At 34.6% G+C, this 27,973-nt stretch overlaps 1 protein-coding gene across 2 annotated transcripts in view; it reads right to left on the bottom strand.

Moving 5' to 3' along the window:
• The window catches only part of TLL1 (tolloid like 1), a 231,221-nt gene that overhangs the window by 107,877 nt on the left and 95,371 nt on the right, over window positions 1-27,973 (bottom strand). For both annotated transcript variants that reach the window (NM_012464.5, NM_001204760.2), the window contains exons 2-5: window positions 7,090-7,200; window positions 3,697-3,777; window positions 2,048-2,200; window positions 1,403-1,520 (exon numbers count right to left, since the gene is read on the bottom strand). In NM_012464.5, coding sequence (NP_036596.3) covers window positions 1,403-1,520; window positions 2,048-2,200; window positions 3,697-3,777; window positions 7,090-7,200 — 463 coding nt within the window. The remainder of the gene's footprint in view (window positions 1-1,402; window positions 1,521-2,047; window positions 2,201-3,696; window positions 3,778-7,089; window positions 7,201-27,973) is intronic.

Below are 27,973 nucleotides of genomic sequence, written 5' to 3'. Positions count from 1 at the left end.
GTTGCACAGGCTGGAGTGCAGTGGCGTAATCTCGGCTCACTGCAACCTCTGCCTCCCAGGTTCCAGCTATTCTCCTGCCTTAGCCTCCTGATTACAGGTGCGCGCCAACACACCTGGCTAATTTTTGTATTTTTAGTAGAGACAGGGTTTCACCATATTGGCCAGACTGGTCTCGAACTCCTGACCTCAAGTTATCCATCTGCCTCGGCCTCTTAAAGTGCTGGGATTACAGGCGTGAGCCACCGTGCCCGGCTCCTTAGTTGATGTTTAAATTGTCAGTACTTTCTTGATCGCCTACGTGTAAAGTAGTGGGCTGGGTATCATGAGGGACACAGAGGTAACTTAACCATCCTCATCATTGAGAAAGACAGACATTTGGATAAACTGTGGTAATATTATGATTACAGCTATGGGTAGGAGCAAAATCCCAATGTGGGCAGCTCAGGAATGGGTAAGAATGAAAGATGTGAAAGATTTCCACTGATAAGAAAAGGAAGGTAAAGGCATTCCAAGCATCAAAACTATCATGAGCAAAAACATGAAGATGTGATAGTGAATGAGGAAAAACAGTTTGGCAGGATAAAACACGTGAAATGGGAGATTATTAAAAAAAGATAATTTATATAAATATAAATTTATTGAAAACAGATATTAGGCAATAAAATAATAAGTGATCAGAACTTTGGATGTGTTTTACAAAATTGATATGTGGGAAGGAGGAAAGATGTACTGATCTGAATAGATTATGGATTTAGAAATATGCAAGATGAGTTTATATCCTTTCCTATTAGATAAGCAGAAAGATACAAGGATAGCCTAGATTTGTATCTCTTAAATATTAAATAGATAAGATGGAGGAAGTATTTCAAATGTAACCAAAACATATCAAGCCAAAGTTAATTTAGAAGGAAACACTGCTGAATAAGTCATAACTAAAAATTTATGGAACTATCCAAAAATATCTAGGTTAATGATGTATAAACAGACCAGGTGTGAGATGATAAATACGTGAATGAACTAGGGCATTGACATGGAATAGAAGTTGAAATCAAAAGATACAGTGACTATCAATAAAAACTTACTGCACTATTTTAGAGACAACACAACAGAATCCCTAGTTGACTATACTGAAGTTTCTAGCTCAGGTGAGTGGGATGTTGGTAATGTCATTGTTAGAAAGTAACTGAGGTGGTAGAAAAGAATACACTTGCAGTAGATGCACAGAGGACTGTGATCAAAGAATACACATACCTAGTATATAATATTTTTATGGAAAATCCAGACTTTCTCATGGCCAAAATACAAAGCAAATCTTAAGAAATAAATCTTACCTATGGACATTTAATTGTTTTCCTTTTAATTTTTTTTTTCCTTAAGTCAGTCCCTACCTAGTTCTACTTACCCACAAGGCCTATAGGTGAATACAATGTAACTCTCTTCATCACTTCTTTCTATGAAAGTCACACATGTGTGCTTTTCCCAGTGCCTCATGGCCTGCTTGAACATGGCTCTCTGGCTGCCTAGAAAAAATGTGTGATGTTAATGAAAAGGTGGCATCCCCAGGAAGAATGCTTCTTGCTGCATCCTCTACCCTAAGTCTGGCTGAGCAGTGCAGAATGCCACCACTATCATCAACCAAAGAATACTAGTTTATGGCACCACAAATGAGTCATTGTTAAGAACGGACACTCACTTTATAATCAGAGGGCTAAAGCTCACTATCTCTACAAATATGTGTCTACAAGGCTCTATAAATGAGGCATACATTCTTCCTGTCAGTTGAAAGAGATCAGCTTCCAAATTTAATAGGCACATCTGAAACTCTGTTTAAAAACCAGAACAGTGCTTTAAACTCTTAGAACACAATACCAAAGATATGCTTTCAATTTCAAAGACACTCTACACTAATAACCTAAGTTAATGAAGTAGTTTTCCAACCTTGACTTAATACTATGTATCTTATGTTAATATTCTATAAAAATAGACACTTAATCTGTATGATAGTTTTTATTTCTTTATGAAAACAGACATGCTGGGAGTATCTTACCAGTGAAGTTTCCTCCTATAACATAAGGAATAACGCCTCCAGGCCATATTCTTTCCGTTCTTGATGTAGCGGCTCTGGGAACTCGATTTTTCTCATTTTGCCCTGAGAATTGTAGAGGTACTTTTCCCTTAACTGTGTTGTTTTGCTCCAAGCCTGCAGTGACATTTAAAACATTCTGTGAAACAGAAGTTCTTGGTCAGGGAATCATTTACCTCTTAAAGGACAAAAGTTAAAATGTCTTATTTACATATTTTTTGTATAAATGCCAGAAGTCAAAATGCATTAAAGAAAAACTTCAGTTATATTACATACTTGAACAAAAGCATTAAAATATTGAAGTATTTCATGTCAAAATACTATATCTTAATGTTCTGTGAGTGAATTTTGTTGGATATCCATACAACAGCCTAAAGTGGATAGAAGTCAGTCAGGCTTATAGGCCACAGAAAATTTGTTTTCTGTTTCATGTCTTGCTAGTCACTATCAATTCACCAACAGTTAAAACAAATATTGTTTAATAAAGTCCCATGATATTTAAGATTCTTGTTACTCCTGCTAGTTTCCTAATCCTTCAAATCTGAACTGATATTCCACAGTACAGTCTAAAATTAAGAATACTATATTATACAGGTAGTAAATGAAGTAACATTAAGACAAATATGGTCTCAGCCTCCCGTACAACAAGCTATCTCCATTCCAGTTTCCTCAGTATTCATATTAAGGAATGCAGCATGATTTAGAGGTCAGTACACAACACGAACAAAATGCATTCTATTCTGGAGCAGCTTTCAAGTCTATAGTCTTTTCCTTTTCTTAATGGCCTTTCATAATATTTTTGTTGCTGTTTTTGTTTCTCCTAAATTTACATGATTATTCTTTCTTATCTATCACTGTCAATATGAATATCCTGCCACTGGTGTATACTTTGACACAACAAATAGGGACTCTGTCTCTAACATGTCTGTCTTTTCAATAGCCTGGAGCAAAGCACTTTTGCTTGGGAAAATTATTCCTTGGAAATATGTACTTCAAGCATTTAATTAGTAATCCATCAATTTAAGGAACGTTAGAATATGAGCTATGCATACAGGATTTTAAACAAACCTCTAAAATCTACAAATAATTTTTAATACATTCAATACTGTAAATATTAACTAATTATGAGCCAGAGGCATAATTAGTTCTGAATGTTTATATATATTTATAACTATTTTCTATTTTTTGAATGGTCAAAACATTTTAACTTTTTAAATCCGGTAATAAGTTTTTCATTTTACTTTAAGTAGATTTATTTCAAAACAAATAACCATGATATTTTTTCACTTGATTAAAATTGATCCAGGCTTTATAAAAATACCTTGGTGTGATGCTGAATTGCCTGGAAATAAGTATCAATAATAAAATAAACACCTGATACATGTTTAAATAAAGAGAAGCTTAAAATAAATTAAAGGAACATTTCAAATTATTCCAAATGAGTTCTAAAAGGCTTTGATCAGATATGAGCTAGCAAAATAAAAAGTTTTAGAATATATCATTTACATACTTCACATCATAATGGCACACTGATTTTAATAAACTGAACTGCTATGAGTATAATATTTACTGTACATCAAGTCAAGCGTCTGCAACTTTAAACATTGATATACCAAAGCCAATTCTTCTTATCCTGTCTATAAGTTGGTAGAGGGCCCCTCGCTTCTTTGACATAGCATGGTCTCCAAGTCCACCTTAAAGAATAAAAGGAAACAAGTTAAACTCAAAATATGTTAAAGTTCTTGCAAATAAAAAACAGTCATAGGCAACAATGATTTCTCTTTGGTCATTTTTTATGTGGTCTTAAAGTGTTGAAATTATGAATATCCATGAATCTTTGAAGGGGGTAAAAACTCTACAGCAACCAATGTTGGTAACTAAAATAAGGGGATGGGGAGACTCAGAGAGCAATGTAAATAACTTTATTTGGACATCATGACAATTGAGTCATCTATTGATAATTTGAAACATTTTTCTTTACTGTGACCTTGACATCACATAGTGCTACATAGAATGACAGCAAGTTGTTCTGCCCTGTTGATTGCATGCCAGCTATTTCCCCAGTGCAAACTGAATATTTTCGGAGGCCAAATCAGCAAATGGAAATAAAAACATTAGAAGAGCAAATGTGTAATGCATGTTTTCTTCCAAAGCTTCCATGAATTTCAAAAACTTTTTAAAGCATATCACATTTTAACAATATATTCAACTGCATTTTGAAAATTTAGTTGAATTTATAGAAATCAAAAACGTAATTTGGAAAAAGCCACAGGAATCCAAACGAATGTTCAGCTGCAAAATATATTCTGTTACGCTGTGTAATTTGAAAAATTTATAAAAAACAGAGTGTAAAAAAAGTCTGTAGTGCAAAAGGAATAGGAAACGGTAGGAATAAGGCAATATGTGTTCTTGCAATTTTACCAACAAAACCTAGAAAAGGTAGATTCCTGTCATAAGTCAGAAAGCATAGCATTTGGCAATAATTCAAGTCTCCAGATTTTCATTCCAGGGCTTTTATAAAATGCTACTCTCGGTTTTGTCACCTATTTTCTCTATTCTCCTTGAATTTTTATTAGACAAATAGGAAAAAGTTATCATTCAGCAAACAACCAATACAGCCACTAATGACATCTTAACAAGTGCCTATGAATTTGTAGTAACATGGAGTATCTATGGTTCATAGAGTATCTTTGGGCTAAGACAAAGAAAGCTATAATTCCACGACGACAACTTGAACTATTCACAAATCACTTGAACTATTTCCTTCCAATATCTATTTTTTTATTTAAAATTGTGATGCACCTAATTACCTAGACTGAAGCTAAAAAAAAATGATAAAATCTATTGCTATATAAGCCTCTTAAGGGAAAAATCAAATAAGTCCTTATAAGGCAAATAAGTTAGAGTGCTTGTTCACTGACTAATAATCTACTTAATTACTTCCATTACATGGCCACATTTTTGCTGTGCATCTTGAGAAACATTTTTGAAATTTTTTCATTGCACATTTTAGAAAGATGAGGTAATACTTAAATACATTCATTCCTAAGCAATTAGGAGAAACATTTTAAAAGTATGGCATCAATGATGTTTGAAATGACCATTATGTAACAACTATATTTATATTACATTGTTTGCAATTCAACTGAGTAGTGCAAGTTACTATTGAACTTTCAAACATGTACCTTCCACAGAAAAATTTAGAATAAGTGTTTTTATTATTATCAGTATGATCTGTTTTATTCTATGTCTAAAATAACACTATTTTTCTTCCAATTATTATGGTCTCAGAGTTTAACAATAAATAAAATTAAATTAAATAACAACATTTTAAAAATTTAAAATCACAGAAAATCAATGCCTTCAAAATAATGGGAGAAGGGAGGTCAAAGAAGTGATCTAAAGCTTAGAGCTAATGAAAATTTTAATAAAAGTTGGAAATGCAACTTATAATAACTCTAGCATTTTATTGTTGTATCATTGCTCTACTGTCCAGAATGCGTTGTCTCCATGACAGTGTTACAGGTGATATAGCAACTGGAGATTTGGCCAAGAAACATAATCTAGAGGGATACGCTATCTGTGGTGACACTGCACAGCAATATTAGCACCCATACTGATATATGTTTTAGAAAAGATTGTCACTATGCATAACAAACACCAAAGCACCCTATTTTTACATGGTGTTATTATTTTAGATGAATTCCTTAGGCTTTCTCTTACATACTCCCTACTTTAAATAAATTTTTATATCTGATAGTGGTATTTTGATTATATAGAATAATATCCTTATTCTTACAAAGTACATGCTAGACTACCTAATAATATTAAAGTGCGTTTTCTGCAGTTGACTTCAAATTTGTTTTAAACACACGTATGCATGTATGCACACACACACAACACACACACACATTCAGTGAAAATCATAAACTGTTAAAAACTGCTGAATCTAACAAGTAAGAATACCACTATTCTACAATCTAATAGGTAGAAATATTTCGATATATTTAAAACTGGTCATAGTAAAAAGTGGCAAAAAAAGTAAATTGGGCAAAGTAAAAAGTCACAGTAAAAAGTCTTAAGTCCATAATATATATGTGCATTTGATATCAGAAAGGACCACATATTGTACTTCCACAGAATAGGAGAAAATAAAAATACTAAAAAGGGAGAATGCAATGAAATCAAAAGCATGACATGAAATAAATATTTTAGCTATTAATATAATTAGAGAAAGAGATTTTAACTTTCTAACCTTGCAATTTTCTCCAGAATAATACACAGATAAAAATTTTACCAAGATACTACAAAGAATTTTGAAATTTTAATTTAAAAAATTGTTAAATGAGAACTGAAATAATCTTTTACATATATCAAGTTTCTTACAGGCATAATTCAAACATGTTTAAATCAACTAAAATTAAAATTGCCTTCTGGGGTTTTTACAAAAATTATATAGATATATAAATTTTCCAAATATTATTCCTATATAATTTCAAATACATTTCCTATATAATTTCTCTAAGAATAATTTACATTTTGCAACTCAATATCCAAATGAGAGGCAACTTAATATAATACTCAAGAGGACAAAATCAAGCTTTTTTCAGAATTGAATTCTGGTTCTGACATGGCCACTTCCTGATGATGTGACGATAAGAAAGCTGTATAGCCTTCTAAATCTCAATCTGCTGATTTCTAAAATCATAGTAATATTAGTAACTACCCTGAGGGGGTTGTCATGAAGATTCAGAGAATTAATACCTGCAAAGCACTTAAACCAGACCTAGTATGTAGCAAATACTACAACCTGTTTGGTAAAAAAAAAAAAAAATTAATAAAATGAAAACTATGAATAAAACCTGCATTTCTAAATATGTATATTTGTGTATAGGAAGTCAGAGTTGATCAACAGGAGATGAAAAATGATCCAAAAATATTTATAGCACTTCAAGAGTATATTTTCTCCAAAATAAAGACAAATTTTCTGAAACAATCAACCATACCTGTGGTATGTCCAAGGTTTCCAAAGGGGTTCTGCGTAAGGTCAATTGTCCTATCTATTTGAAAGATATTTAAGTCTTCATCATCTAAGGCAATATCGCCCCAAAATACAGCTAAAAAAAGAAAAGTTGAATTAAAATGTAAAATATTTCCGTGAAATCAATACACACAAAGCTAATTAGAAAAGCATTGTTAAAAATATGGAAACGTGGTCTGGATAGAGACAGATCTTTCAGAAAGTAATCATAACTGAATGCACTGGACCTGTTACAGGACAAATATTAGCTACCTGTAAAAGGGCATAACTCCATTTTTTTACATTGTTGCTTGTGGAGAGGGGGAAAGTAGTTTCCTTGAATAAGAAGGTTACTGATTATGGAGATTCTAAATAAAGAGAAATAGGCAATCATGAGCTAATTCGCAAATATCTGAAAATCGGATAAGAATGTCTGCATCTTCTGTGGATTCTTATGACCAGCAGCAGGTCTTCACTGAGAGGAAAAAGGAAAAGCAGTAACAACTAAACCATGTGATATTTTATAAACTAAGATAATTTTATAATGCAAGGTGCAATCAAGACAAAAGAATACCTAGTGCTATTGTAGCAATTCATTCACCACATTTCATACAATTTATAATACACTTTATCTTAAGATGGCATTGCCTCTGAGTCTCTGTAAAATGGATATATAACTACCAAAAGTAATACTTAAGTCAATATTTATTTAGGCAACAACTAGATGCCAGATTTTTTATCTTTAATGACAAATATAACACGGTCCATATTTTCAAGAGCCACCAAGTCATTACCCTAAAACCTGAAAACACTCTGACTCTATTATTATTATTTTTATTATTTTTGAGTTAGGGTCTCTCTGTTACCCAGGCTGGAGTGCAGTGGTGCGATCACGGCTCACTGTAGACTTAACCTGAACCTCCCAGACTCTAGTAGTCCTCCTACCTCAGCTTCCCAAGTAGCTGCGACTACAGACACACTCCACTGCGCTGGGCTAATTTTTGTAATGCCTGTTAATTTTTGTATTTTTTGTACAGAAAGGGTTGTGCCATGTTGCCCAGGCTGATAATGAACTCCTGGCCTCCAGCAATACTCCTGCCTCAGCCTCCCAAAATGCTGGGATTGCAGGAGTGAGCAACTGCTCTCAGTCTGACTCTATCTTTTTTACCTAGTGTATTATGCTACTTAATAAAGCAAAGCTCTATAAACCATTGTGAAACCATGGGAGAGTTCATTGATAACTAGTATGTGAATTTCTCTTTTAAAGTTCGTCATATATATTAGTGTAACAATAAAATAGTCTCCCTGCTTATTTGAATACAAGCTACACCAACCAATCCCTTAGTACTGCCAGAGTCAAAGCACAGTAACTTTAGGAAGCACAAAAAACTCGAGAAATAAGAAATTAATCATGAGACAGTAGAACACTGAAAAATACCTAGAAATACAGGGATATTTGTTTTTTACAGGTTTACCAATTTTCTTTATTTTTAAACCTTTCTTCAGATTTTCTTCTGTGAAACCAAAAGGAAAAGAAAGAAAATACATTAAAATCGTAGAAAGTGACAAAATCCATGCTTTTCAAATTACTGTCTTTCATTGGATTTAAATCTTAATATTTATGAACTTTTCCACTATAGAGAATTAGTTATTTATGAAGTTTAAACTTCAGTCCTAAAAGCTGTGCAATGTTTTAGGCTTTGATCAAAGGTTTATCATATAAAATTATTTACCCAGTGCAAAACTGACATGAGATAAGAAGGAAGGGGTTAGATTTATGTGGGAATCTAGAAAGGAAGAAAATAGAAATTAGTAAAATGTAGGTTATCACTTCAACATATAGAAAAATCTTTACTATAATTAGATTTCTCTCTTAAACCCCTCACTGGCCCTATTTCCAATGGAAAGGCAGTCTAAAGAAGCAAAGAAATGCTTACTTTCGTTTACTCTCATAGCAGCAAAGCCACAAAGAGTGTACAGAATAGTTTATAACACTAGCTAAGAGGGTGGTTTTGATGCCTGAAATTGAATCGAGATTCTAATCAGCTTCGTACAGACGCAGCAGAAAACACTAATGCTCCAGCATCCCTAAAGCCAGACCCCCGCAAGAAACTTACCCAAGTTAAATATTTTGCCAATTATAATATAAGGCTTGTTGGTTTTCATAAAAATACATTTTACACTTTTTAAGACTGTAAGGTAAATCCAAGTTGACTAGTTATATGAAACTTCCATCAGGTGCATTTACAATGCAAATAGCTCTGATCATCCACTGGCAGGGACTCTCAGCCTGTCTCTTCCTTTCTTAGTGCTGGTAGTGTGGTGGCCACTAGACACTGAAGCAGTGCTTCACTAACTTTAATTTGCATAAGAATCATAGAGAATCTGGCCAAAGTGCAGACTCTGATTTGGTAAGTCTGGAGAGGAGCCTCAGATTCTACATTTTTAACAAGCTCCCAATCACTACAAATGATTATCATTGTCATCATCTTTATTAGTATTAATTTTTTCTGCAAGAATAAATTCCCACTCTTCTTTGAGTCAGATGGTTGACTTGAAAACGGAGGCACTCAACTAAGCAAAATGTACTTTGTCAATACTGCATTTCAGATAAAAGCAGTACACATAAAATAAAATTCAAATATGTTTCAGATTTTATTTTCTTGTAATGGCTTTTTATATGCAGTAGGATCCATGTCTTGATGGATTATATCAAACACAGATCAACAGTCCAAGGATAAGTCACTTCACAGAAGCAAAAACATTACTTCTGGGGAGAAGAAAGGGCACCAGGCTAGATGATACTTAAAGGAGAAAAAACAGTTCTGGAGGACATAAGCCCATTTATTTATTGCCATATTTTCTAAACTAATAACTTCAGAATAGTTTGGTAGTGATGAATACACCATAAATTGCTTTAGGAGAAAACCAAATATTTCTTTGAGAGAAAGCAATAGTGAGTGACTAAGCCAATTCATTTACGGCCAGACTTGACACACTGTAGCCCATATACATCTTTAAATCTTGATATTCTCAACAGAAAAAAAAAGGCACGTTAGAACTTTCAACCTGTCATACAGTTTAAAATGCATTTCTTTCTTCATACTGCACACATTTGAAGATTTCCGTAATTCGCCTTCTATTTAAATCTGTGTCCTATTTCTGTGTACTAAAATATTTTACTTATGCGTTGGCACAGTAAGTTGGACCATGACAATTTATACTCATATGTATTAGGATGCATTATAATCTAATATATATCTGACACTTAGGTGCAAAAATACATATGAAATTCTCGAATCCACTTTGGAATTTTGTTTTCGTTTTTATGTGGTATTTTCTATTTATTTTACCTCAAAAAACAAAGTTGGAGATAAACAGTCTTAAAGTATGAATTATCGTTCATTTGGCCCATTTAATACATGATTTGAGGTTAGTGAGATCAGAACTAAAAAAAAAATGGGAAAATGGTTATTGGGACGATACTAGGAAAATACTCAAGTGCAATTAGAATATTTACTATCTGTTTGGAATTCTGCTTGGATTCTTATGGTCAAATAGGGGGTTGGAGCTAACCAGTAAGCCAAAATTAAATGTCAGAGAGAACAATTTTTAAGCTACAGGGAAAACCACAGGTTTTGTTTTTCTCCTAAAGGTTATTTGCCGTTAATGCACAACAAACATTTTTTTAATCAGAGACTAAAACAGAAAGACTGCTTTTATTATAGTATGCAGAATAAGTGCATTTTATAAAATAATGTATGATGAGAATAAGCAATTCAAGATTGTGATTCCCTAGGCCTTAACTTTAAAAAATGCCACTTCCACCCATGTCCCCAATTCCTCAGTGAGCTCTAACACTTCAGTCTGAAGCTGAGGCCGTCAGCTTTAAGGAGGCTTTAAGTTTGTGATTTCTGAAAAACTATATGCAAAAATATGTACGAATTTATAAACACAAACACCATGTATTTTTCTGGGACAAGTCCACAGTAGATTGTCAAAAGGGGTTACACAAAGTAAAGAACCACTACTTTTGCCAAGGGTGAAGTCTTTCTGTCCACTCAGGAGAAAATACTTGGAAACCAAATATCCTCAAGAAAATGAATACATTTATTTGAATTAACACTAAGATATCTGATAGCTGGTTACCAGTCGAGAGCACACTGACAAGAAAATTGAGTCTCTTTAGGCCTTCCCAGAAAAACCTTCCTAGAAACCTGCTCTTCCCATTTGCCCTAATTAAGTGTCTCTACTTCCATGTCCTGACTGTGCTTCTGCCAATAATAAGGCAACACACAAGATTTCATAATTGTTTTCAGCCGGCTTCCTCGACTAATTTTGAAAATACTAACAACAGGAAGTATGTATTGCTCACCTTAATATCCTTAATGCCATAGTACCAGAAATAAATAGGTCTTCAATATACACATTTTGAGGCACAAAAATGTGAATGAGAACATACCGTGAATTGGAGTATAAGTTGTGTATAACAAAAGAGTCCATATAAGAGTTTATGAGGCTGCTTGTGCTACCTATTTGACAAATTTGCTTTAAGAACCAAAATACTAAATATTTAACTATTCCAAGAATAAATATTTACAAGCCCCTCAATCTCTAGTGGTTACTGTTATAAACATTTTTAAAGCAATTAAAAGACAGGTGCCTTTTTGATTTTAGTGACATATATTATTAAGTGTAATTATAGGAATTGTGTCCCCTTTTCTCCAAACACCACACTTATATGCCCAGGAAATACATGATTGAGCTAGAAGATTCATTATCTTGAGATTTATGGGATTGGAAGAGATAGCTCAAAGATTCAACAATAGCCAAGAGCATTTGTTCATTACACTTTTTCCATATACAGTTTAAGCTTTCTGCTTTTATTGATATTGGATTTAGGGAGGAAAGATGATGTCATGTGAAGGTCTGAAAAGGCTGCTCTGACCGGTCTTGCTCACAATGAAGGCATAATGAAAATTTTCTCAGACAAAGGCAACAGTGAAGTCTCAAAAGTCAACTATTTTTACATGATTGACAACCACTGAGCAAATTCCCAAGGAAAAGTAAGACTTGGCAAAAGTTCTAAGACATATATTTTAGCTAATGTTACACCAGTTAAAAGAGAAAATAATTTTCTGGTAGCATTTCATGTGCATAGAATAAATCTCCCCCAACATGACACACAAAGTTATCACAAATTCCAAATTTGAGAAACAATTATCAAAAATGTTAAAAGCTCTTGATACAATAGAAAAATAAATACAAACATATTTTATATAGAATCAGAAACATTCTTCAGAAAAAGACATGTTTTAAGGTAGTATGTGTCTTTGTTAAATTCCTAATAATAGAAAAGGAAGTATCTGCAGTCCATTATTTTAGTGTTTGTTCATACAAAGGCATCCCATGCAATGTTTTATTTAAAACATTATCATTTTTTTCAAAATCTACTTTTCCACTTTTACCATACACTACCATATAAAATCAACAAAATCATCTAATCTACAATTAAAAAGTGTGCTTGCAGTAAAGTACTATTAATGAGTTAAATAAAATTGTTCACTCATCCTTTCCTCGCACACTGGATTGGAAGGAGCATCTAGGTAACCTGATTTTTACCTGGCCATTTGAAAACAGTATGTCTTCACCCAGTGTAGATTTTTTGAAAGATGGTAGGAGTACTATATAAGAAAGCTAGACTTTGGATAATTGACTCTAGGAAGAAAAAAATAAAGAAAGAAACTGTCCAAACATACTTCAAATTTAGAAGTTCCTTCAAAGGGCATAGAACTTCTCCTCAAGTTAAACACAGTCTTCTTCAATTACTTTTTAAATCAGGAAATAGAATATAATCTCAATACACAATCAGATGTGAATCTGAAGTGTAAGACAAACAAATCTATATACATATACAGATACAGACACATTCTGTTAGTACAAGGACTCTTCCGCCAGAATATGAAAATATTTGATAATAAAGACATTTTTCATGATGTTTGTTAGTTTCAAGATGAATCAAAATTGATCAATCCATTCTGAACTTAGACACAAGCAGCATGTTGCCTTTTTCAATCCTTTTCTGTTTTAACGTAATTTTACATTATGGAAATGATTAAATGCTAAATTTCCAAATAAACATATCTTTCTATTTAGGTCAGAAAACAAAATTGTTCCCCTAACAAAAGATCCATTGAAATATCATATCAATCTGCACTTATAGCCCACAATGTCTGCGGATAGGATTTCTCAGGACATTTTTAAAATATCATCCATACCACAAATATTCATTCTGAACTCTTTGTCTCAAAAGAGAAAACATTGACAGAAAAGTGCTTTGATCCAGAAACGTAAAAGTAAATATTGAAACTTTTTTGTGTGTATGGCCTAATATTTTCTCTCCTGAGCTTTAAGAAAATAAATTATTGTAGTTCAGAAGTTTTAAAAAAACTTCCATTCTTACACTGCTCAAATATTAAGTATACAATCAACCACTAGCAAGATTTAGTTTATTTATATTTCCCACGTCATATATTTTGTAAGGACAGGGCAAACATTTGTTTTTTCTTCCCTTATGCCTGTAATTGTTTACGTTTGTGGCCAGGGTGGGAGTCAACCCTGATACGTCTTTTTGAATTAAGTTTCCTTATTTTCTAAATATTGACACTAGGTCTTGGAGTAAATCTTGATCTCTTTCTGGAAGTAAGACAGTTCATGCAAATTTGCTTTTTTTTTTTTTTTACATACATTGCTCTATGGCTTACCCACTGGAAGGTCATTTCTTCACACAAACACAAGAATCTTTTTTCCCACTTTTCTGCATTTTTATTTAGTCTATTTTTATGATAGGTTGAGAAAAACTGTACTACAACCTTTCTGGTTATTATTATTCTTTGTAAAAGACTTCCCTTTTGGCACAAATCAAAGTCCGGAGTCCTTTCTCTTTGGTTAATACCTCACACTGCACAGCCATAAAACAACATGGCCTCAGCGAAATAAACTTCCCAAAATTTAAAAACTCACTGACTCTCTGAAACTTGACTTAATATATTGATTTCTATTTCTTCTTTTCATAGTCTTAGAGACCTTAAACAATGGGAAGAATATTTAAAGATAATTTTACTCACTCTAAAACAAGCACAAAATTGAAGATCTATGAAATATTCCTCTCAATATTATTTGTAATGTTTTACAGCTTTAGAAGTTTCATAGTGTCAGTAACACATATTGCTATTAAATGCATGATGTTTAATATTAATAAGGCACCCTCCCTGACATTATTCTATTTGAGCCACAGATAATTAAGTGATATTAATTAATACTATTAACTTGCTGACATAATTTACATTTGAAAAAACTTCCCATTCTCTTATTGTCTATCAATCACATTATTTGGCGTCTACACTTTGCTTAATATAGCAGAGTCTGTTAGCACTGATAACAGACAGGTCATTTCTTAAAGCAAAATTATTCCGCGTCAGAAACATCGTTTGTCTAAGAGTTTCCCTTTGAAATCATGCTGATGATCCATCTTAACCACTGCAAAATCTCATATAGGGAATGAAGAAATAGATGATTCTTTTCTTTTCGGGTTTGCAGAAACAGGGATGGTGCCTGCAATGGCACACAGAGATGATACACTTTATTGAAAAATGAAAGCAATCTGCAAAGAAAACATTTACTAAAGGAAAATGGAGTTCATCATAATTTGCATCCTGGTAGCAACAAAACCACCCAGGGCTATGCCCATGTTCTAGGTGTAATTTCAATGTTAAGTAATCCGCCAGTGTTGTTTCAAAGCTTGTTTGAGATAATAAAGGAAAAAGATGTTGGAATCCATATACACATGAATACTAAGTAAATAAAATCTTTATAAATAACTGCAAATCACGGTCCTTGGTATGTCCTTTTAAAATTTACATATTTAGAACTGACATAAGTTTTAGCTAGTAGATATAAATTGGAAATTTGGCCCATCCAAACCTCCAATCTCCCTGCAGCATTACTGATTAACTAATTTAAAATTCATACTTTGACTCAAAGCTTATCAACTCTGTAAATCTTGGACTCAAGATAGAACTTTAATTTTCCACTTAAATTATTCACAGCAAAAGATTGTTGAAGGAATCCTTTTGTAATCTTTGGAAAACAAACAAAAAATCCACAGGTTTCTGTGCATTTTATTTTGCTTGTAACAATATAACATCCAAAACATTTCAGTAATCACTGTCTCTTGGGGAGTGAGTGTCAAAATCTATTGAACTATCTGGTTAACTGAAAGATAACCTCCTTTTCAGTAAAACAAGAAGAACCATGGGGGAAAAAAACTCTATAGAGGAAGAAGGCAATTATCATCTGCTGCTGTTATTAACTGAGTTTCAGATAATTATATTGGTTACTCTCTCATGTGCAAAATTTTAGAAATACAGTAGTTCACCAATTGGGCCTAAAATTTCATAAAGAGCTCATTTATACTAAGTCACTTTAATGAAGCCATGGAGGCTTACAGAACAAACCAATGTCTAAAATGAAGCCCTCCAAAAAGAACAGAATTTTTAAAAAACTGTTTAAAACATTTTATTTTACTCAGACATTGAGACAATTTAATTATCATTATAATGTATTGAACTTATATTTTGTGTCTGATATTGTGCTAGGCAATAGGAATTCAAAAATAAGGCAATGTCCCTTAGAGATTAATAACTAACAACATCAAGTAGGCTCTCTTAACAACTTAAAGTCCATTTTAAATGGACTATTTTGCCTTCTATTTACCATTTAAAAAATTCCAGTAGGCTCAGGTATTTGAAGGCTACTTTGAATATTAAAAATAGACTTCTCTGCCAAAATTAATCATATTACCATAGCAACTGCTCACAAGGTGTCTAGTTTTACCAGTTCTGTACATTTGGTGCTAACTACATACAACTCTGAGTTATTTCTGAATGAGAGCTTATCACTACAATTGGCTGCACGTTTGAATTACTTTATTTTCTTAGGCTATGCCTGCAACAGCCATTAATTTTCTACTTCACAAGAGATCACTAATTTAAATTCAAGAAGAATATGCTATAGAGAATAGAAGGATGTTCCTGGGGAGATGCAAACTTTTGATGAATTTAAGGTCTGGGTTGAGCCTTGCAGAGTCAGAAACTTGGTCTTGCCCATGTTCCTGAATCCATTACACTTGGAAATACAGACATCCCTGAGACAGCGCATATGAGATTGCTATCATGAAAATAAAGTGCCAGCTCACAGTAAGAACATAAGGGGACTGGACACTCAGAGTGTCTGCCCAACATATTCTCAATATAAATAAAAACATGTGAAGAAAAACCATGCTCGGAAGAGTGCTTGTTAAACATGGAGCCAGAACAAGGAAGATTACTTATATGCTTCCAATGTTTAATGATAACATGGATACGGTTTGGATAGGCACTTGCAACATTTGCCTCTGAAACTGTCGTTTTACCCTGGTTTTCACATCTAACCAAAACCTTTCTGATTGTCACGTTCATTATCCATGTTAATACAGTCAGTCAACAAGACTGGTTCTCCCTCTCTATTTAGAAATCATGATGTATTTCAACTGTATAGAAAAGCATATTCACCACGGAGTTTTGCAAAAATCTGAACAGCTTGCAAAATTTGCCTCAAATCTTTGTTTATTTATTTGTTCATTTATGTAGAGATGGGGTTTTGCCTTGCCACCCAGGCTTGAGTGCAACAATGCAATCATAGCTCACTGAAAGCCTCAAATTCCTTGGGCTCAAGAAATTCTCCTGCCTCAGCCTCCTGAGTAACTAGGAGTACAGGCGCACAGCACCATGCCTGGCAAATTTTTTATTTCAGATCTTTATTATTAGAATAGTTCTTACCTTATCTATGTTTCCCTTCTAATTACCATGACCCCATGTTCTCTCAGAGTAACCAGTATCACAAATATAGTATTTGTCACTCCTGTACATGTTTCTATTCTTCCAAACTCATATGTATCTGTGGAAAAGTATAGTACTTCTTTTTGCTTAATAATTTTTATTATATAAATATCATTAAACTGTTTTCTTTTTCATCTGTATGATTTTGCATAATATTTAATATATAATGTTTGTTACACACATTTGACTACAGCTTTTCTTAACTTCTAAGTTAGTCTTTTATACGAATATAACATTTATTTGTATCTTTTTCTATTAATATAAATTTACATAGCATCAAACTTTTCCCTAATACAAACAATGCTCTAGTAAACACCATGTATTGCACAAGACTTGTCTAGGATATATACCTAGGTAGTCAATCAGTGGGTCATAGGATATGCATGTATACACCTTTTTTAGAAATTGCCTAGAATTTGAATACAGAGTAATAATGGCAGCAGCAATAGCCACGTAATAATGGAATATTCTCTGATCCTGCTATAAAAAAACACAGAACAACCAGTTAAAGAAAACCCCAAAGACCCTTGGACAATATATAGCATAGATCTAGGTTACAAAGTATCACCTCAAACTTTCAAATACAAGTGGATGGGAACAAACTATTTTACAACTCTTCTGCTGTGAAAACAGCTACAAGAACCACACAGTAAACAGCACATGAGTAAGGAAATAAAGGATGACAACTAGGTTTCTGATGGGCAGGGGGACAGGAATATGTCAAAATCACTGACAAGATACTCATTGGAAAGCACAGCAGACCAACCTGAGAACAGCTAAAATTGGGAGAGAGTTTTGCAGAATCCAATTTACAACTTAATGCAAAGAAACAAATGAACGTATGCACATATTTGGTGGCATAGCCACAAAGACAGAAACCATCCGAAGTTCTTTGGAAACAAACAAACAAAAACAAAAAACAGCAACTTAAATATATATATCCTCATTGAAATGTATCCTAAAAGCAAAAGAATTTTAAAAAGTAAACTTTTCAATAATCATATTATTGGTGGTAGGCAGTGATGGTGATATTATTTTGAGATTGTGTATGTATTATAAGATAAAGTGTAAAAAGCAAAAACTGTTATCTTTAAGAACCCACATTTTTACTATGTTTGAAGAAGGCTGATTCTGAAATTGGGGAGGTTAATTAAAAGCTTTGGACCCCAAAAATGAACTGGAATTATCTATATAAAATTATAATTAATTTTATAACTAAGAATTGTATGTATATATATTTCCTCTTTCTCACTAATAAAAAAAACCTGGAAACAATGAACAACCAACACAGTGGTAATAAAAACCACTGGCACCCAAAAAACTCCCCAATAAAAAAATCAGAGCTTTTTGGAAAAAAATGATTTCAGGGTTGAGGCAGAATCTGAGTAAAATAAGCCTTGGCTATTGTAATACCAGAAAGCAATAAGGCTTCTAAATATGAAAGTGTTCTGTTAAAAGAGTTAGGAAAAATTGTGTAAGCTCCTGCTGGCCTAAATTAGGATAACATGAATATCAATAAAGAGAATAATTGATTGGATTGAAACACATTATCAAATATGTTTAAACCCATTAGTTCATAGTAACACTAAAAATACAATTAGAGGATGCTAGGAAATCAACTCATCTATTTTGCAAACATATATATACAGAAATGTATTTTAAACAACACATTACCTCATAACTAGTGAGAAGGACATTTGTATTTACGTTTTGGGAATCCTTCCTCTTTTGTGAACGACCTATTCCTTTCCTTTGGGATGTATTTTCTTTGTAAGATTTGTCTTATGCTTATTGATTATAAGTATTGCTAGATATTAATTTTCTCTCATTGAAGAAGCTTTTCCAAGTACAGGTTTTGAGTTACACTGGATGTAGTTTATTTAGTGCATTCAACTTAAATAAATGTATTTAATTTAGTGCAATAAATTTTATAACCATTTCTCCTTTAGATTTTGGGCTTCTGAGTCCAATTTAAGCAACATATCTTTTCCTGAGACCATAAAAATAGTTGACTATTCTATTAGTCCATTTTCACACTGCTATAAAGAAATATTCATGACTGGGTAATTTATAAAGGAAAGAGGTTTGATTGACTCACTGATCCACACGATTGGAGAGGCCTCAGGAAACTTACAATCATGGTAGAAGGGAAAGCAAGCACATCTTACATGGAGGCAGGCGAGAGAGTGTGTGCAGGAGGAACAGTCAAACATTTATAAAACCATCAGATCTCATAAGAACTAACTCACTCTCACAAGAACTCACTCAGTAAACTTTCAGCATGGGGGAAACTGCCCCCCATGATCCAATCACCTCCCACCAGGTTCTGCCCTCGACATGTGGAGATTGTGGAGATTACAATTCAAGATGAGATTTGGGTGGGGACACAGAGCCAACCATATCGCCTATATTTCCTAAAACTTCTAAAATCTAACTTCTAACATTTATGTCTTTAGTCCACATTAACCTATTTTTTTCTTTTGTTATAGTTAAAGATTAAATATCTCTTCATTCAGGGGTATCCAATCTTTTGGCTTCCCTGGGCCACACTGGAAGAACTGTCTTGGGTCACACATAAAATACGCTAACACTAACTATAGATGATGAGCTAAAGAGAAGAAAAATACAAAAAAACCGCATAATGTTTTTAAAAAGTATACGATTTTGTGTTGGGCTGCATCCAAAGCCATCCTGGGCTGCACACAGCCCAGAGGCCATGGGTTGGACATGCTTGATCTACATGGATAACAAACTGTCCCAGTTCCATGTAAAGAACCTCTATCCCTTTTCCAAATATTTTAAATACTGTCTCTGTCATATATCTAAGCCTTTTATTCTGTTTCATTGGTGTATAGCTTTAATATCCTACTATGTTGGTAACAATCACTTTATATGAATCTTTATATCTAATAGAATTAGTCCCATACCTATGTTATCAAATTTTCTGTTTTTCTTAGCAATATGATTTTCTATATAAATTTTAGAAGCAGACAGTCAAGCTACAAGAAAAACCCAATGAGACCTTGATTAGAATTGCATTGTCTATGTAAATTAATATAAGAATAATTGTCATTTTAAAGATCATAGTTCAACTTATTTTGGTTTTATTTACATCTTCCCATAAAGGGAATGTAAGTTTCTTCCTAACGTATGCCTTGTTAAGTTTATTTCTAGGTAAACTTTCAGACTGTATTTCTTTAACAAATATTAACATTTTAAACTATATTTTCTAAGTGTTCCTTGTATATAATAAAAGAATTGTTATACTTTGATCCTGTATTCATCAGATATCCTGAACATTTCCATTGGCTCCAATAGATCTCTTGCATTTCCTGTGAAGTCACTTTTACCATCTGAAAGTAGTGTCATATTCATTCTTTTCAGTTGCTCTGTGTGTGTATGTGTGTTTTAGCTAAATGCTAGAATCCAAACCATAATACTGAATATAAGTAGTGATGGCAGGAATCCTCGCCTTATAATCTTTTTTTTTTTTTTTTTTTTTTTTGAGATGGAATCTCACTCTGTTACCCAGGCTGTGCAGTAGTATGTTCTGAGCTTACTGCAACCTCTACCTCCCGGATTCCAGCAATTCTCCTGTCTCAGCCTCCTGAGTAGCCGGGATTACAGGTGCACACCACCACGCCCAGCTAAGTTTTGTATTTTTAGTAGAGACGGGGTTTCAGCATACTGGCCAGGCTGGTCTCGAACTCCTGACCTCATGTGATCCACCCGCCTCAGCCTCCCAAAGTGCTGAGATTACAGGCATGATCCACCATGCCTGGTCATCTTACAACTTCTAAAGAGGCTTCTAATAGTTTCCCATTGACTATGGTTTTAGCTAAAAGATTCTAGCAGTTACTTTATCAAGTCAAAGAAACCCCTTAGTTCCCATTTTGGATTTTAGCATTTAGCTTTATAAGAGATCTAACCCATAATATTTTTTCTTTTATTTTCATTGTCCAGTTATAGTATCAAAGTTATATTCACCTTATAAAATGAGCTGGAAGACATTATTTCTTTTTTAGTCATTCAGACAATTTGTATAAGTTAGAATTATTTTTTCCTTAAACAGCTGGCAGAAATTGTTTGTAAATGTATCTAGGCATAGCATTACATTTAAGGGCAGATTTCTTTTCCTATACAGTATCTTAGATGTTCCCTGCCTCTACTGCCCCTATAAATATGGAGAGGGGTTGGGTGGCGTGGGGGAGGGGGAAGGGGTACTACTACTAGAGTTTTTTCCATGGTGTTTTTTAGAGGATGCTTTGATGGTCTGCCCAGTTCCAACCTCAAGACTGAATAATTTATTCCCAGATTCTGGGAAGGCTGTTCACTGAAAGACTTCAGCTGTCAGCTCTCTTGGCTGAAAAGCTGCCTCATCCATCGCCAAACCCACTTCCTGTGGGTAGCCAGCATCTAATGACTGGTCTAGAAGGGTATATAAGGGCGTAGCTCCTTCCAACCAACATGAGACATCTCTGATGGATCATCCTAGCATCAGGGTTTCAGATTTGTCTAAGACCCACACTGAAACTACACTGAATCCCAATAAATTCCTCTTCTCACACCTGCTTCCTCCCCTTCCTTTTCACAAGTGGTGATCCTGAGAACTGTCCCTGAGAACTCCCGACATAATAATCTCTATCACAGGGTCTGCCTCCTAAGCAACGCAACCTGTGACAGTTGGTGCCAGTACTGGTCCACATAAGCAGGTACTGCCACGGTATTTTGGCAATGGAGATTTGGAGCTGGCAATGAGAATCCCATCCTGGGTTGTTGGAGCTTCAGCAAAAAATAGCCTCTGGGATATAATATAAGTATAATTATTAAATCTTTCTCTTGTACTGATGGTAAATTGTAAAAATAAATGCTGGTGTTATATATCCAGAGTTTGTGCAATACAGGGAAAATAGTAACTCTAAGGATAGTAAATTGGGTAGCTAATGCTAAACTCCATTAATGCTTGTTAAATGTTAACAAAAGATTGGTCACAATTAATGAATCATTAAAAGCTATGAGTGAAAGCCAGATAACCTTCTCGGTAATATACAAAAATACTGTCATCTCCTACAGCTTGATAGCAGAGAAAACTAAAGATGAGGCCAGGCGCGGTGGCTCACGCCTGTAATCCCAGCACTTTGGGAGGCCGAGGCGGGCGGATCACGAGGTCAGGAGATCGAGGCCATCCCGGCTAAAACGGTGAAACCCCGTCTCTATGAAAAATACAAAAAATTAGCCGGGCGTAGTGGCGGGCGCCTGTAGTCCCAGCTACTTGGGAGGCTGAGGCAGGAGAATGGCGTGAACCCGGGAGGCGGAGCTTGCAGTGAGCCGAGATCCCGCCACTGCACTCCAGCCTGGGCGACAGAGCGAGACTCCGTCTCAAAAAAAAAAAAAAAAAAAAAAAAAGATGAGGTCCAGGACTTAATCCTAAGAGTTACAGAGTGCAGTTGGCCTCTTGATCTCAGCAGGTCAGCTATGCCAGGGTACAGTTCTACTTTGAAACCCAGACACATGGGATGAAAAAATATAATCTTGAAACTCCAGACTTCTCTGATCCTATTAAGAACTAACGCTGGTTGGGCACAGTGGCTCATGCCTGTAATCCCAGCACTTTGGGAGGCCGAGGCAGGTGGATCACCTGAGATCAGGAGTTTGAAACCAGCCTGACCAATATGGTGAAACCCCATCTCTATTAAAAATACAAAAATTAGCTGGGCATGGTGGCTCACACCTGTATTTCCAGTTGCTTGGAAGGCTGAGACAAGAGAATTACTTGTACCTGGGAGGTGCAGATTGCAGTGAGCCGAGATTGTACCACTGCACTCCAGTGTTGGGCAACACAGCAAGACTCCATCTCAAAAAAGAAAAAAAAAAAAGAACTAATGCTTACTCCCTTGTTAAGGATAGTGCTGCAATATTTTCTCCCCTGAAAGACAAAATGCACCCCTCAAGATCTGCCCTTACCTCCCCTTTCCAGCCACTAAACCAATAAAAGGGTTAAATCACAACATAACCCAAGCAGAATGAATTGCACCTGAAACAGGAAGCAAGGGACTGTAACCAAAAGGATCTACAAAACCTTGCCTACTTGTAGCCCAGAGAATACTCAAGGACTCGATTCCAAAGGTAGAACATGAAGTTGTATAAGATAGTTTATTTATTTGATAGCACCATCCTGGGATGGTGCTATCCCAGGATAGGAAATCCTGGGATACAGGATTTGATGCCCTTAAAAGAAGACTGAAAGACAACGTAAACATGCTTTAAGATGGTAAAGGCTGCACTATCAGCTTCCCTTCTTTGAGGCTTTGGGACTCAGACTGAGCCACTACTTGCTTCTTTCATCCCTAGCTTGCAGATGGCCTATCGTGGGACTTCAGCTTTTGATAGTGTGAGCCAATTCTCTCTAATAAACTCCCTTTCATATATACATATATCCTATTAGTTCTGTCCCTCTGGAGAACCCTGACTAATACAGACAGCTCCTGGAAGAAATAATAAAGCACGGACCTGCATTAAGTAATAGAGAAATGCCAGGGAGATTAAAAGGCTCAAGTAAGCATGCTTGAACAAATATACTATTCTCAGCCAGAATGCCCATCAGATGACTATACTTCATACAAAGGCACTAAAGATAGACCATTTACCAAGGCTACAAGGAACACATTGGTGAAAGGAAAAACATCACTAAGAAGTTCAGACTTGATGTTCCTCTGAAGGCCAAGACTGATGGTAGAAGGTGGTATTATGGAATGGGCTCACTGACCACAATGGACATGATGGAATCCTGAAAAGATAGATAGGGTAATATCCAATTATTATAAGCCAGGTAGAGGTAATTATAATGTTTGTCAAGGTTGTAGTCACATGCAGGAACACTGACCCTTAGAGAGTTATGAGATAGTTAATAGAACATGGTGTCCAAGGAGTAAAATAGACAGACAGTCAACCAAGAGTATTATTCAGGGTGTACAATCAAAAGAATGGATGCTGGATGATCAGAAGATAGAATGTGTTTACTCCCCACCCCACCACCTACCATCCAAAAATATCTTACTGAGATTCAGGATATGAGCCAGTTTTCAAACCTGGAACCCATATGCTGAAGTGAAAAAACAGATTTCCAGGAGGAACAACCATGTAGCATCATGAAAAGAATATATGATAATGATATTAAAGTCCTTCCACAAAGGTGCCAACAGTCATATCTTTGGATAACCATATACAGGCATTTTAAGGACTGTTGGAAACAGGGTCATTGACACTGAAACGTGCAAAATCAAAGAGCTTTCATGGGCTTTTCTGGAAATAATAGATTGAGTCTTGTCCCAGGTTTGACTCATAGTCTGTCCACTATGTCTGTGATCTACCTAATAGTTATTTTCCAGGTCATAAAATATATAAGTATGATTCACACAGGTGGCTGGCACAACTTCCAGATTGCTCAAGCAATCTGTCCTAGAGGGAAAGCCTCTTGGACTGCAATCCACATTCCCCACCCCAGGCAAGATATCAACTTAAAAACAATTATCCTGATGGTTCTACTTATACGTAGGCTACACAAAGCTGGAAGAGAATGTTGCTGTCACTCTAACCCTGTAAATAAACAACAAAAAACAGATCACTGACAAAACTGTAATTTTTCTGGAACCCAGAGAGCTAACATTACAAAGTCCTGCTGAATTCCATCGAGTGGCAAGCCCCTCCAAAAAGAGACAGGACACAGCAACTATTTCACCTCTGGCAGAGCTTGAGAGGAAGAGGCAACATCCTAAAAGTGGATAAGAAGAAAACATCTAAAATTTTTAAAAAATTTTAAAAGGCTGAGTGTACACTTGCATTAGAATAAAAAGCCAAAGGGAAAAGCAAGCTCTCCCAGTGACGCACTGAGAAATTTGGGCTTCTCATCCCCCACGTTTCTGGACTCTCAGCATTCAGAGATCCTGATTCACAGAAAAGCAGTTTTCTACCAGAAGCCATGGCAAGAATGCCACTGAATTTTAAGCTAATGCTGGGCACTTTGGGATCTTTTTGCAAAAAAATCAGCAGGCAAGATAAGGAGTCACCGTCTTGGCAGAATCCTTTAACATGATCATCAGAGGATTTGGGGTGCTGTCACACAACAATGGGAATGGAGTAATACGTCTGGCATCAAATGAAGCCCTTGGGCACCCTCATGATATTCTTGATCAATTTTTATTGTAGATGCAGCACCTATGGCTGAATCTACAAGGGGCATGGCAAGCAGTGGCTTAGAGTCCTTAGGGACATGCATGGGGGTGATATCACTAGCTAAGCTGCCTGGACTGGCCAAGGGAAATCTAATACTGACAACACACACTGAATAATCTTAGCGGGGGAACCCCCATGAATTCCAATTCCTGTTGTGCATGATAGATTACCAGTGAAGAATAATTATAATCACTTAAATAATTTATTTAATTATTTACATATAAGTAGAATCATCAGGATAATTGTTTTTAAGTTAATATCTTGCCTGGGGTGGGGAATGTGGATTGCAGTCCAAGAGGCTTTCCCTCTAGGACAGATTGCTTGAGCTAAGAAAGCAATCTGGAAGTTGTGCCAGCCACCTGTGTGAATCATATATATTTTATGACCTGGAAAATAACCATTAGGTAGATCACAGACATAGTGGACAGACTATGCGTCAAACCTGGGACAAGACTCAATTTATTAGTTGCAGAAAAGCCCATGAAAGCTCTTTGATTTTGCACGTATCAGTGTCAATGATCCTGTTTCCAACAGTCCTTAAAATGCCTGTATATGGTTATCCAAAGATATGACTGTTGGCACCTTTGTGGAAGGACTTTAGAATCATTATCGTGTGTCATTTATTACTAAATAATAATTTATTTATTTATTTTAGAGTATGCGGGAAATTTGAATAGGTTAAAAAAGTAAAGGGAAAGACTCTTAGAGTCCAGTCCTACATGGTCAAAAGAATAATGTCTATTTTAAATGCTAGCATTCTTATGCCTCCTGTGAAGAAAGAAGGTTTTAACCCAACCTCCTCCTCCACTTTCACTTGCCAGGAGAAAATAAATATTGAGTATGGGAATTAACATTCTCAAATAGAGTTTAAATGTCTCAAACAATTCACCTGCTTTATGTAGTCATATTTCAGTTAAACACTCTGTTGTGGTAGATTCCCACTGTTTCATTTCCAAAACCACTGTGAATGTTTATGTTTATATTCCTTCCTGATTTTGTTAGAAATCAAAGAAAAAAAGGTTCCACAAGAAAACAGCAATGTTTACAATATTTTAAAATATGTTTAAATAGAATAGAGCATCTCTAATCACAAAAGTAAATAATAAACATAAATATCGTCTGATTAATTATAAACATTAACAGACAAAAGCAAAGACTAAAACATTCTTAACAAACTTAATTCAAAAAAGAGGTCTTCTACAGCCTTAGAACACTCATTAAAGCTCAATGTTTACATCTTATAAAGTAATGAGACTTATTTAGCATCCTTTGTAGCTTGCATATTTCAGGCTAATGAATTTCCTTAGAGTTACACAGGATGAAAATCCGTGTAGGAACTACAAATTTCTGTAAAATTACACATACAACGTTACATAGATTAAGACCCTACCTGGGAGTAACAACTTCTAATATACTTGATATGATAAGAATGTGTCCAAGTGAGAATACATACAAGATTCTTCAAAGGACGAGTTAAACTTTAATAAGTTAATAAAAATTAATAAGTTAACATTTTAATAAGAAAAAGTCCATTGAAGTACAGTGATTAATAACTCCAATCTTGTGCTCTATTTTCATGACATCAAGAATGCTACAGATCCCTCAAGGGAGAGAAAAGCAGGCCCTGAATAATGTGTGTTAGGTTATCCCTAAAATAATAACCAAAAAACCCCACAACCAATTTATGACATTCTCTGCTATCATAACTTTTATTGGTTTGAAGAAAGAGAAGACATTTTTCATACGTTTTTCTCAGAACTTGGTTTAAAGCTAGACACTGGAACCCATTCGAATATAAACAACATATATGCAGCATTTTTCAAAAATGTGTGTACGTATAAATACTTATAATGTTATGCACTCCACCTCCATCAAATAAAAGATACAGCAATCCTGATGCTTAATGGCTTAGAGTTGTAAACTCTTTCTAAATGAATGTCTACTGAAATATATAAAGGTAAAACTACATTTATAATGATAAGATAGACTACTTAAGCATTTCAATAAAATTAAATACAAACATAAAATGAATGACTGAAGATATCTGGTCAACCATCAGGAAACAAATTAAAAATTGTAAACTGATCTCAGGCTTTCTGGAATAGAATACAATTTAATATTGGCAAGATAAAATTTCCAGGTTCAAAGAAAAACGTCCCACGGTTATCAAAAATCTCTCATAACATGTTGGAAATAACTCAAACAAAAATAATATTACTTAAAATACTCAGAGGGATAAACTTAAGGGAGAAAGAAGTTTTCAAAATACGTTTTGGGTTTTGCTAAACGCAAAGCATCTCAATGTGAAATTCAATTTTTCCCAGCTCAAAACACTTCCAGGTTCTACAAGGCTTAACACATACACATTTACATTCTTTCTTTTCACCACTCAGGCAGCAATAAAAGTAGCTTTCTAAACCACAATCAGTATTTCTTTGACTCAAAGTAACACAGTTCTCTATGTAGGTCATCATAACTATTGCTACAATCACAGAATGGGAGAAACTCTGACTTTTAAAAGATGAACTACTACAACAATTCTATCTCACAGATAGAAAAAAACGACATTTTGGTAGAAAACATTATGACTGAAATAGTTTTCTTTAAAAGAAATTGACATGACAAAACTCATCATCTCCCCCTTTTAGGCCATTGAATGTGGTAAAATTGACTTAGATTGTTCTCTGGGAAAAAGTCAAT

This window comes from Homo sapiens, chromosome 4, assembly GCF_000001405.40.
Source record: "Homo sapiens chromosome 4, GRCh38.p14 Primary Assembly".
Taxonomy (NCBI): Eukaryota; Metazoa; Chordata; class Mammalia; order Primates; family Hominidae; genus Homo; species Homo sapiens.
The sequence above is the reverse complement of the archived record's forward strand: the minus strand, read 5'-3'. Positions and strand labels throughout refer to the sequence as shown.